Genomic DNA, 13,370 nt, shown 5'->3' on the forward strand with positions numbered 1-13,370 from the left:
ACCAACTCAGGGCTTTGCCAAGGAAATTTAAACAACAAAGTTTGGATGTAAGAAAATGCTTGGCTGTGCTCACCCTTGCCAATACTTACTTCCCTCTCATTTTGTATCTTTGTATTTATCATCTCTCTCCCCATCTTTCTCCCTGCTCCGCCCCCACCACCATTATCTATGTCTTGCATGCTGTTGCTGCCTCACAGGTTTCCATCAAAAAAGTCAATGCTTGACTCTTGGTGCACGTGTTACTTCCAGTTAAGTAAATATTGGTGCATTTGCCTTTGCCCTTTATTCAAAAATGGTCAGATTTTTTTAGAAGCATGGCAGATTGGGAGACAGAATAGGGGGCAGGTTTTTCTGTCAATCCTATTTTCTAAAATAAATGCTGATATTTCTTTATTCCTCTACCCTCCTTCCTGTTTTTGCCTTCTAAGTCCTCTCTGCATGTGTGTGGGGGTGGGTAGAGGGGACTGGATTATAGAGATGGATCAGTGTGCTTTCTTGCTCTATGGCTGGACCATTTGGTTCAGACACAGGCAGGGCTGTGGGAGAGAGAAGAGGGGGTTTACTTTCCTGCCCCCAAGCCTCGATTCCTGGTTCTAGGGGCATCCCCTGTCTCCATAGCTTCAGGCTTGGTAAGTGTCCCCTTTACGGCCCCAGCTCTTCCAGGATGCCCTGGTTCCTCTTCATGTCCCATTGAGCCTAGGAAGGGCCCCCCGCTTCTCATTGCTAATAGTTGCTGGGTGCTTCAACATCCTTGTGCCTATCCCCTATTGGAAATTCTCTCCAGAATTCCACTTGAACAGACCTCTTTTTCCAGCTGGGTCCTGACTGATATTGTAAATCTATTGTAAATCTAAATAGATTTACAGCTATTATAATCTATTTAAATAAAATGTTGATATAAAACATTACTATTTTGAGAAAAACCCACAGTTTAAAGGAAAAAACATGAAGATACAATTCAGATACCATGTTTTCCTTAATCATCTTAAATTATCACCTCCATGAACCCTATTGTTCTTCCAGCTTCACAGGTGTCACTTCTATAAAATCACTCTTAGTTTTTTGATTTCAGGTTAGAAATCCTTCTCAAAGGATCTCTTTGACCCACAGGCATCTCAGCTTCAGAGTCAGCCAAGGAGAAAGACACACACCTGTAACAGTAGAAAGGGCAATTGGGGAAGGAGTCGGGGGTGGGGAGCAACAAAATTCCACCTCGGGGAAGACGTCACTGAGCAGCTGGCATTGTGAACGTCCTTGCAGGATGCCTAGGACGAGGGTGACAAGCAGCAGGTGTCTTTTACTTGTGACGATCTCAGCCCTCGTGCAACTGGAGAAAAGGCAGGTAGAGTGCAGGGTATTTGGGGAACATGAGTCGTTTTGTGAAATTGGAGCTGGGTGGGAGGGTGGGGGCAGCAGACCGGCAGGTCGGGGAGGCTGAGGTCACCCCTCTTCATCGCCCAAACTCATAGCCTGCTATTAAGGCAATTTTCCAAAGGTTCTATTTCCGCCTTCTTTGAGAATGCCATTTACTCTTCCTTTCTTACTGAATGGGGTAAGAAATGTCCTCTTTCTGTCAGTGTGAAAGCTGCTATTAAGAAAAAAATGATCTGAAGGAAACGATTTTCACCTTTTATGTGGAAGCAAAAGCATCAAGGTACAATTTAGGTATTTACCATACAAAATCTACAATTTAGAAAAGATAAATTTTGACCTTATTTTAATTCTTTGTCTTTTAAATTGTAGAGTTTGGATTACTCCTAAAAATGTAAATGATGATTCCACTAAGTTAGACCCATTCTGCCTTTCAGCACATGCTCCTGCTTGAGTTTCAACATTAAATTCTCATGCATCTATTTGCTTGAGGGTTGGAATAGATTTTAGGAAGAACATTTGAAGGCTCAAAAATGATTTCATTGCAATCTCTTTGTCTTCTGGCCTCCTCTGTTTATCTCATTTCTCCCTTCCCTTCCTTGCTTGTTTTCAGGTTCCTTTATTGCTTCTCTTCTACAAATCCTCACCCTTCCACACACTTTCACCCCCAAGTGGGGCACCTGTCCTATGGGGCCCCCAGGAATGGAAAGACTTGAGCCCAGTGCCCCCACTTGGCTTCACCAGCCTTCCCTAAGTGGGCCCTTGGCCAGGGATTTTCCTGGGATTATGGTGGCACTGGAAATAGAAAAATGGGTGACATAAGGGAAGATGCTATTGGTGACAGGGCCTGAGCACTGAGTGAAGAGATGGGAGAGATTTACAGTTGACTCTGAGTTTGTAAGCCTGAGAAATGGGAGCATGGAGGATCATTTGAGAGAAGGAGAGATGAGAAGGATGAGGAGAGAATGCAAGAGGATGGGAGGATGTTTGGAAAAACATTGTGATAAAATGCATATGCTCATGGAGAATGGCATGACGGTTGTCCTATTAGCTTGAGTCACCTGCATGTCTTGTGGGAATGAAGGGGGCAGCAGAAAAAGGGAGCCATCCAGGCTTGATTCCTGGGACCTGTGGGGAAGCCCAGTGGGGGTGCTGATGACATTAAAGTTTTAGTCCCTAGACAACAGAGGATGGTAGGAAATTGGTGAACATAGGCTTTGTTCCAGAAATTATTCTAGAAAAGTTGATGTAAATGCAAACTTTGATAATGGTACTGTATTAGTTTGTTCTCACGCTGCTATTAAAGACATACCCAAGCCTAGGTAATTTATAAAGGAAAGAGGTTTTCTTATTTTCACAGTTCAGCATGGCTGAGGAGGCTTCAGGAAACTAACAGTCATGGCAGAAGGGGAAGCAAACACGTCCTTCTTCACATAGAGGCAGCAAGGAGAAGTGGTGAGCAAAAGTGGGAAAAGTTCCTCATGAGAGCTCACTCACTGTCAGGAGATCAGCAGCATGGGGGTAACCACCCTCAGGATTCAATTACCTCCCACTGGGTCCCTCCCACAACACGTGGGGATTATGGGAACTACAATTCAAGGTGAGATTTGGGTGGCGACACAGCCAGACCATATCAGGTACCATGTGAACTATGAGAGTTCTATTTTACAAAGGAGAAAACTGATGCTCATAAGTAACTTGCCCAATATCACATGGCTATCAAGTGTTAGAACTAGAATTTGAAAATAAATATGACTAACTGACAAGTTTCTGCCCTTTTAAAGAAGCTATGTTCCTTATCTGGGAGGTCCTGGGCACTTGGTTGGAGACAGATAGGGCCTCTTGGCATGGGTAGGCATGAGGCTTTGTCACTTTGCACCTCCTGTCCCCACACCAACCCACCCTCCACCAGGAGCAGCAGCAGCACCAATGTTGTAGTGTGACAGGTCCCCACCAGGCTGCTTAAGGGCATTTGTCCATATGTCCATGGCTTGGACCCTGAAGGCCAGGTGGTGAGCCAAGGCCATGGTACCCAGACAAGGAGCAGGTGTTCATTCCTGAGAACTCAAACATACTGAAGTGTACCTGGTAATATACCAAGAAAAATAGTCCTATCACACACACACACACACACGGCAAAGAGCCAGAAAATTAGCTTAAAAGCAACTTAAAGACAGCAGGCAGTGGGGATCTCTAGAGCTGTCTTGCTGCCACCCAGGAGAGCCCTGGATGTAGGTCCCAATAAACTCATTTACTTATCAAGCTGGACTTGATGGAGTCATTCTTTGGTCTCTTGGCTCCTTCCCAGTTTGCAGGGGATGTTACCATCCCAAGTTCTTCCTGTAACAAATATGCATTCAGAATGGCTCTCTGAATGGCATGTGACTATGCAATTTATACAAGCTGGGGAGTTAGCCATGAAGAGACCAAGTGGTACATTTCTTTAATGAAATCACACACGACTAGGATCAGTGTTATATGCTAGCTCTGGTTCTCTCTGAATGATGTCCAAGGACTCTGCCTGAACTTGTTAGTGAAAGATGAGCCAAAGACAGGGAGGGAATGAGTCAGGGAGCGTACATCCACTTCCCACAAGGCTTCCATCAATGGCACCATGCATGGGACTGTAAGATTGAGCCAACTTGCTGAGATAAAAAATAACTTCATCGTGATCCCTTAGGAGACAGGACTAAAAATAGAGATGCCCTCTGTGGCTTGAATGAGAAGTGCCTGGAGAAGGAAAGGCACCAGCATGCCTGGTGGGGGTTGCTTCTCTGTGCATCTTCATGTAAAACATCAGGGGCTTCCAGTTTTCTGACCCTTTAAGGAGTTTTTTGACCCTTACTCTCACAAGGTAGGTGGTATTTTTTTGTTTTGTTTTACAAATGTGGAAACAGAGGCAGAATTGTTACATGGTTATGTTAGAGTAGGTAGGTAGGCAGGCATAAGCAGGGCAGAAGAGGGCCCCCCTCCAACCCAGGAATGTCAGGCGAACATCAGGTGATGGGTCAGGTGGTTGTTAAATTGTCTCTCTAAAATAATAATTGGTCTCAGCCAGTGTCAGGGAAAGGCAGCCTCACAATAGATAGAAAACACCTGAAGCTGATGATCAACAGCTTCCCAATAAGATCTCAGGAGTTGGGTGGATGGGCTCAAGCATGTGCACTAAGAGGCAAAATGATGGAGTTTGATGGTGTATTACCTTTATCTAGGAACACTTGACTGGTAAGGGAAGAACACCTCTAGTGAGCATGTGCACAACTTCGGTAAACACACTGTGCATGCAGCCCCTCCAAAGTGCTGGCAGGCCACTGTGCATGTGGAGAGCCCACCCCAGTGGAAGAATCAGGGGAGAAAAGATGTTGATATGGTTAGGCTTTGTGTCCCCACCCAAATCTCATCTTGAATTGTAATCCCCATAATCTCCACATTTCAAGGAGAGACCTGGTAGGAGGTGATTGGATCATGGGAGTAGAGTCCCCCATGCTGTTCTGGTGATTGTGAGTAGTTCTCATGAGAGCTGATGGTTTTATAAGTGTTTGACAGTTCCTCCTTCATACACTCACTCTCTCTTGCCTGCCACCATGTAAGACATGCCTCTTCAATTTCCACCTTGATTGTAAGTTTCCTGAGGCCTCCTCAGCTATGTGGAATGGTGAGTCAATTAAACCTCTTTTCCTTATAAATTACCCAATGTTGGGCAGTTCTTTATAGCAGTGTGAGAATGGACTAATACACATGTCAATGTATAAAACCCCAAGTCAAAGGTCAAACAGCACACTTGAATCTCTCAAGTCACCCGCTTGGCCCTCTTCCAAGTATACTTTACTTTCTTTCTTTCCTGCTCTAAAACTTTTTAATAAACTTGCACTTCTGCTCTATAACTTTCCTTGGTCTCTCACTCTGCCTTATGTCCCCTGGTCAAATTCTTTCTTCTGAGGAGGTAAGAACTGAGTTGCTGCAGACCTGTATGGATTCACCATTGCTAACATACTTTGATGCCATGACTCAGATGCATTCCCTATTGGGAAGACATCTCCATACCTCACCTGCTTTGGATGGATGCATTCAACCCCCTTTCGTGGGTTCCCTCTCCCCTTTCACTCTCCTGCTTACTAACCAACCCCCAAAATGATTCCTCTTGGCCACAGTGGTTCTGCTCCCCCTGACTGATCTCTCAGCTCACTCTGATGGGTGGCCTACTGGGTGGGGAAGGACCTTGGAGTCTGCACTGAGTAGACCTGAGACACTAATGGCCCTCCTGGACAGGAGACTCACGAGAGTGGTAGGGTTAAAGCTTAAGACATGCAATGTCTGGGGTTTCCTCTGCCCTTTCAACTAAAATCAGCTCTTTTCCAAGACCCTGCACCATCTACTCTCCTGTTTTCTCTGTGTGTGTTCTGAAATGGCCTTGTGCATCCATGGGACCATTTGCTTGCAGGAGGCAAGTCTGCCTTTTCTCTGCTTTCAATTCACATGCTGTGTGACTTCCTTCTTTGCCCTAAACACACTCCCTGTTATTCACGCATCCATGGCTCTTGCTATGTTTGCATAGCAGCAAAAAAAATGGGCTCCCTAGTGGATGTCTGTTGGCTCACTGCTGGGACAGACTCTAATTGGAACCCCAGCTCTGCCAACTCCTTATGACTTATCATACACTTTGCTTGTCATCTGTGTTACACTGCTGGGCCTAGCTTTTGAAACAGTTTGTCCACCTGCATTTGTCCTCATTCTGTGGCCCTTTAAGGATCCCTACTTGATTTTTTTGAGTTAGCATCCCTTTGGGAAGAGGGAAAATTCTTCCTTTGCCATTTGTGATCCCTTATCGCAGGCCCCATCTCCTCCAGATGTTCTTCCTTTATGTCAAGAGGGCAAATAAACATTGCCCTCTCAAATCCAAGGGCTGCTGCTTTTGCGAGCACATGAAGGCTTTCCATGAGTATTCCTCACACTTCTTCCCACTTCCTCCTGTAGCAGAGGGATTGTCCTGTCTGCTTAAGCATGTGTTCTGTATGTTACCCCTGGAGGATGAGGAAGCCTAAATACAAATTTTCCTCTATTCCTCTAATCACTTCCATGCCCTCAATACACATCAAGGCCTTCAAGGCAATATTAGAAGGGAGGGAAGTCCAGCAGTAGCTGGCCAAAAAACAGGGTTCTTGTGTACTTAAGGAACATGGGAAATGAGAATCATCATTTTGTTGCTAGACTGCTCTGAGTGAGAGTCACTATAAGGTCATGGAGACAAAGATATAGGCCAGCCCATGGCCACAGGCACAAGAGAACCATAGGACAAAGATGAAGGCTGGTCCTAGGCTAACAGATTACCATTAGAACAGAGAGGAAGGTTGGGGTACATGGTTAGACCAGTTCATTCCAGTACCTCAAGGATGAATGGGGTGCCCCTGTTGACTCTGGTATCTCCTCTGTTCTCAAGTGGGTAATTTTGATGAGATGAGGCCAAGGTTAAGGTTACATAGTAAGACTGGTTCATTCTGGAACCCTAAGGATGAATGGTGGATGCCCTGTCCAGGAAAGGATAATAGAGCAATAAGAAGGGATGCCTTCTTTTTTCTTATTTTTTTCTCCTCTGTCCTCTCTTTGCAGATGGGTAATTGTGTCCATAAACCACAGGATATGCCCTTTGGATGCATCCCCAAGAAATCTGGGGAAAAGTTTGATCCCCCAAACCTTAAAACAAACAAAAAACTATTTTTCCCTTGTAATACTGTTTGGCCTAAAAATGAACTGGGAGAAAACTATAAGAGTCAGCTTCAGAAGCCAGTGTCCCTGTGCAGGAAATCCTCAAATTAGCCTCCTTAGTCATTTATAAACCATATGGGGACAAGAAGAACAGGGCTAGGGAGAAAAGAGAAACATGGGGACCAGAGGCAGTCTCAACTATTGGCTGCTTTATAAGCTCTTCAGTCCCTTCCAGGTTGCTCTAAGGACTCTCCTCCAAGTAACTACCATCAGTGCAGGAATCCAGGCCACTGAATTGCAAATTGCACTAATGGGATAAATGGGAAAAAGCCCCACACAGCTTTCCCCCTCTGCCACAAGGTTGGCCACTGGAAATGGGACTGCCCTGAGATTCAAAGGGCCCCCAGGACAGAATCCCAAACCCTGATGGCTCTGAGCTGAAAGGGCTTTGTGCTCCAGCTGGCTTCCAAATCAGACATTGTAATCTACAAGACAAGGCCAAGGGCAACTTTGGAGGCAGCAAATAAAATTATAAATTTCCCTTTGGGGTTCAAAATCTCCCTACTCTGTGCTAATCTCCTTCTCTTAGCAACTCTCCTTCAAATACTGTTGGGTAATTGGGGCAAATGGCACCCCCTCCCTCCAAAAGAAAAGATTAACACTCCTTTATATTACTCAAGGGATCAAATTCCATTCTCCTACCAGTCTCTGGTAATGTTGAAATACCCTACATCTCTTTGGGGCAAAAATATACTTTCCAAGATGGATGCCTGTGTAACATTTACCCAACCTCTGATCATTTTCTCTCTAATAGCTCTATTTCTCCTGGGAAAGTTACCTAAATCTTTAACCAATAACTTTAACCTAGGAAGTCCTACCTCAGGGGTTTAGAAATAGCCCATACTTATTCAGATAAGCCCTAGCAAAAGTCTAGCCAAGCAATCTTTTGTTGGGGGCTGTCTTCTACAGCATATAGATAACCTCCTCATCTGCTCCCCCTTCACAGGGCTTGCACAGCAACATGCAGTACAAACCTTAACTTCCTAATGGAAGGAAAATGACTTTTGTTTAATTCAAACATTTTTAAGGTAAATAGATGTTTTTGGTAAGAAAAGTTATAAAGAAAAGATATTTTATATGAGAAAGGATCTTGTTTGGTAAATTCTTGTGCTAAAGTAAAATTACTGATTGTTTAAAAGAGGGATATTTAGGACAAGTCAGAAAGTTGAAGCATGTCATAGATGCTCTGTGTAAGTTGTGAAAAGGTTCGTGAAAGGGAATTAATAAAAGAAATGTTACACAATTTTAAAGGTTATTAAACCTATTAAATGCTTCATAAACTGCTACCATAACTCTTAACTGTACAACTTGCCTGCTTTAAAGCTGTTAAATTCTGAGTAAGGCCTGGGGACATACAGAGTTAGCCGTGTACCCTAGCTATGCTGGAAAGAGTCAAACCTGATCTTCACTTCTATCTCGTGTTCTAGGCTCCAAAGCTAATACATAATTAGAATGGCTTACTTATGAGGTTTTTCACCAAAAGTAAAAGTAGTTAAGAGACAACAGTGTAACATGTACTTGAGACTACTGGAAAAACAGTTTTACATGCAGGATGTGTAAGGAAAGTAAAATGTGCTTTTGGTAAAATATTATATGAAGGCATGGGAATGTGGATTTTTGGCCTAGTGTAGAGGGTTAAAGGATTGTTTGAAGTTAGAAAGCATAAAACTGAAGGTTTAAGCAAGTTCTGGAAGGTTTGTGAAAGATTAATCTTGTAAAAGAAATTCTGTATAGGCATATATTGGCTACAATTAAAGGCGTATTATTCAGTTTAATAAAATAAAAGCAAAGCACAGTTTTCTTAAAGCACTTAAAGCACTGTTTTTTAACAGAAAATTGTAAAGGGTTATAAAAGGTTAATGAAAATCTTACCTTATGGTCAAACTGATTAACATTAGATAAATTTTTCTATAAGGTTTTATTAAGAATTGCATTTGACATCAATAGTACACTAAGGCAAAGGTAAAATTTGGCTTTACTTGGACTGTATTTGCATAAATGTGTTATTGCAGTGTGTTTCAAAATTATGCAAAACTCCTATAATTCTAGTTTGACTTACTATACAGTAATAATTATAATTGTCATGTTAAATTATTGTGTGCCACAGAGGTAACAAATTTCCTTGTCAATTGTGTCTTCAACTGTGGCTGTCCAAAGACATTTAGTCATCCACAATTGTTATTTTGTTTCAATGCCCTTTAAAATGTAGTTTTATAATCAGCTATAGGACTCTAATAGGTGCTCTTAAATGCAGGTTTCTGATAACTTTGGAGATTGTGACATTATAATAGAGGAAAACTTTTCAGGACTCTCACAGAGAGCTAAAATATTGATGAATATCAAGGAGAAGAGGAATTAATTGCATGGACTGAACTAAGACTAAAATAATACTTTTATGACTTTTTGCTTAAAATGTTGCTAATCCTTTGTTTGTTTTTCCAAGCCAAGAAAACTTTTCAGCTTTTAACAATTGAATAAAGTGTACTATAAACAAAATTAGGAGCACATTTATCTCTCCTGGATTTCTCCAATATTTGGAACTTATTTGTGAGTGCTCATAACTTACATCAGTATAGTTATTTGAATAAGTGCAATAATCTGTTTTTTTCTTTCTCATCTATTGATTTATATTTTGTAAGATTAAAAGGCTTTGTGATCTGAGAAACTGTAAGCAATTGTGTTGCTTTTCATCTTCAGGCCTGCATTTCTTGTAAAGCTAGGTGATATGAATATTGGCCTTCTCACAACTAAACATATAAACTGATACACATAGCTTTAACATGCTGTTTTCTTTTGTAACAGGACAAAATTGGAGACACTGGTTATTTTCCCCAAGGCTTTGAATGAATGACATGCTTTCGGATACAAACAGACTCCTTTAAGAAATCAATGTTAACTTAGAGAGCCAATAAAATCCCCTTGGGAAAAGTGGACCCACATCTTGTCTACACAATCCCTGTGCAGGCTTTCTCACCTGTGGTAAGTAAAGAATGTCACGTTCTGACAGGCCCAGGGGCCCCAAGTTGTCTTGGGACCTCAAGAGGGAGGAATTCATCCAACTCATACAGTTATTTGGTGGCACAATCCCATGCCTGGGCTCAAGACTTTTAAAAGTTTTATCCAAGATTCCTTATGGAACAAAGTTCCATCAAAGCCAATTTAAAAAGGAACCTATGTAACAAATAATTATTCTTGCTGTGCTTTATGCAAATAACAGGCCAAGTATAACATGACTGAAGTTTATTTTGGAAACAAATCAGTCCTGTGATAATTTGTTTTTAATAAGAATGAGGACTGCAAAGAGAAAAATTATGTCTTGAGAATTGTGGTACACCTGTAATTTGATTCTAGTCTCATCAGTTGTTTTTGAGTTTTTTTCCTCTGCAAGTTAGACTGACTCTGCTTATTCCTGTGAACCAACCAGTGATCCATGGCTGAGGCTCAGAAGAAACAAGAGGGATGGGCCATCAATCACCAGATGATCCTCAGTGAGGGATAATATCCTCTCAATATTTGAGTCACACTTCTACAGAGGACCCCTCAACTGCCCATCTGTGGGACACGACAGAGGCAAAATCCTGCCCCTGTCTCTCTCGGACCTGGCTGGATACTGCTTTCACTAACCCACGAAGCAACCATGCCCTAACAGCTAGCAAGAGAATAAGACCCACAGAACAACCACCACCACCTCTCTGTCAGCAGGAAGCAGTTACAAAAGACTGACCTTTCCCAACAAATTGGGTCTTGAACTCTTGAGGGGGGAAATGTTAGAGTAGGTAGTTAGGCAGACATGAGCAGGGCAGGAGAGGTCCCTGCCCAACCCAGGAATGTCAGGTGACTATCAGGTTATGGTCAGGTGGTTGTTATCTGTCTTGCTAAAATAATAATTGGCTGCAGCTGGTGCCAGGGAACAGTATCTCCCAATAGATGAAAAACAACTGAAGTTGATGACCAGCAGCTTCCCAATAAGATCTCAGGAGTTGGGTGAGTGGGCTCAAGCATGCACACTAAGAGCTGAATGGCAGTGTTAACAGGTAAATGACCTTCTTCTAGGAACGCCTGACTGGTATGAGAAAAATGCCTCAACTAAGCCTGTGTACAACTTCAGCAAACACACTGTGCTTGCAGCCCCTCCCAAGTGCTGGCAGGCCACTGAGCATGCAGACAGCCTACCCCAAAAGAAGTAACGGGGAGAAGTAACACAACCCCAGAAGCATCTCAATACATAAAACTTCAAGTTAAAGATCAAACAGCACACTTGAATCTCTCAAGTCACCTGCTTGGCTCTCTTCTAAGTGTACCTTACTTTCTTTTGTTCCTGCTCTAAAACTTTTTAATAAACTTTCCTGCTCTAAAACTTGCCTTGGTCTCTCACTCTGCCTTATGCCCCTTGGTTGAATTCTTTCTTCTGAGGAGGCAAGAACTGAGTTGCTGCAGACCCATACAGATTTGCCACTGGTAACAGTTAGAATGAGATATAGAAAAACTGAAAGCAGATCCTGGGTCTCCTAGTACTTAGCCTGCCTCTGTGTAGTATCATAATCTTCAAGACAGAAAACTGAAGTGGCCAATCTCCTCTCAGAGAGTGCAAGGGTTGAGACCAGGAGAAACAGAGGCACTATTAAAGGCCAGGATTGAGGACGCACAGCAGAGCCTGAGTGCATGGCACATTCTGCTGCCAAAATCCACACCCTCTACAAGAAATATTTGTTCAGTGCCCATTATGGGCCAGACCAGGAATGTGGACATGAACTGGGGGTTCTCTGCCCTCACTAAACTTATTTTTAGAGGGGAGCTTCAAAATAAATAAGATAAACAAACTAGATAATTTAAGACACGGTGAGTGCTCTGAAGAAATTGCAAGATGGAGATGCAATGTGGAGGGGAATCAGGTTCGTTACTTAGGAGAGCTCAGAAAGGACTTCCTGAGGGTGTGACTTTTGAACCAAGACCTCAGTGATGATTGAAACTCACTGATGGGAAGACTTGGCGAAGGGCTTCTCCAGGGAAGCTCGGGGGCAGGTTCTAGAAGGGAGGCAGGGCTGGCTGGCTTGGGGACATGCTGTGTGTGAGGAAGCAGTGGTTTTCTTCCTAACCTTTATAGGGTCCTACCTGTCTTGACTCTTGCCAGCTTCTTACCTACAAACAACTAGATGCAAGGGGTCCTATTTATCCTCCAGGGAGAAAAGATAATGCAAGCTGCTCTTTGCTATCATTTAGAATTTTAGACTTTATTACAGAGCGCTGTGTTAACCAGGCTGGGGGTGGTAGACACAGAAACTCTGAAGTCACCAGGGAAACTTCACAGCAATGCTTTGACTGGGACTATTCCCTGCCTTCATCTGGCAGAAAGGACTCAGTGTAGCTGCCCCATACTTGGCCAGACGTAAAGAGTTCTTTCTGCCCTCTGCATCTGTCCTCAATCCTCCCTCTCGCTCGCTCTCTTCTCCTGGAAGGGGTTTCAGCCACATTGTGCCTGCTGCTGCAGTCTTTTTCCTTCTTTCTGCTTCCCAAGTTTATACCAGGCTACTTATTAACACAGGGCCAGGTGTGTTATAAGCATCAGTGTGTATTGTGTGTGTGTGTGGATGAGCTTCAGTGGAGCACCTGAGAAAAACAAAAACCAAACTTACAGATATTAACCACAATGGCTCCAGTCTGGGACTCCAGGAGGCTGAGGCCTGAGCAAACTCATTCTTTTTTCAGTCAAGGAGCCAGGACATTGCAGAGTGCTGTGAAAATGTCCTTTACGTGTCCCAACACCTTATAAAGAGTTTGCTTATTTCCCCAGTACAGAAATTCATGGTGATCATAAAAATTAGGAAAACACAGAAAGGTAGTTAAAGTAACCACTGGTAATTACAGTTAGTATTGTAATTACAGTTAGTATTATATTTACTGTTTAATAAAAGCCAGATGAAATAATGAGATGGAATTACGTAAGAATATTAAAAGATAAAGCATGGCAAAAATTAGTCTAACTATCATTTTATGGCTGTCCAGTAGTCTGTAAGTTGGATAAATCATAGTTTATTAAACATCTACCCTACTGGTGTATATTTAAATTCTAGCCAATTTTTCCATTACTTAAAAAAATGTAATAAACAGCTGTGTGCATTCTCACACAGCTCAATATTCTTAGACTCTCAGCCCAGATTCAGATTATACCATTACTGAATGAAAAAGTATAAATATTTCTAATGCTCTTGATACCTCTTGCCCAAGCAAATTCTAGT

At 42.6% G+C, this 13,370-nt stretch overlaps 1 long non-coding RNA gene across 1 annotated transcript; it reads left to right on the forward strand.

The window, feature by feature from the left end:
• Positions 1-3,654: 3,654 nt before the first annotated feature.
• Positions 3,655-11,491, forward strand: LOC105375577 (uncharacterized). Its single transcript, XR_928187.3, has 3 exons — positions 3,655-4,225; positions 9,937-10,113; positions 11,188-11,491. It is a non-coding gene; the product is annotated as an uncharacterized LOC105375577 (long non-coding RNA).
• Positions 11,492-13,370: the final 1,879 nt, after the last annotated feature.

The sequence above is a fragment of the Homo sapiens genome, chromosome 7 (assembly GCF_000001405.40).
Source record: "Homo sapiens chromosome 7, GRCh38.p14 Primary Assembly".
Lineage (NCBI taxonomy): Eukaryota > Metazoa > Chordata > Mammalia > Primates > Hominidae > Homo > Homo sapiens.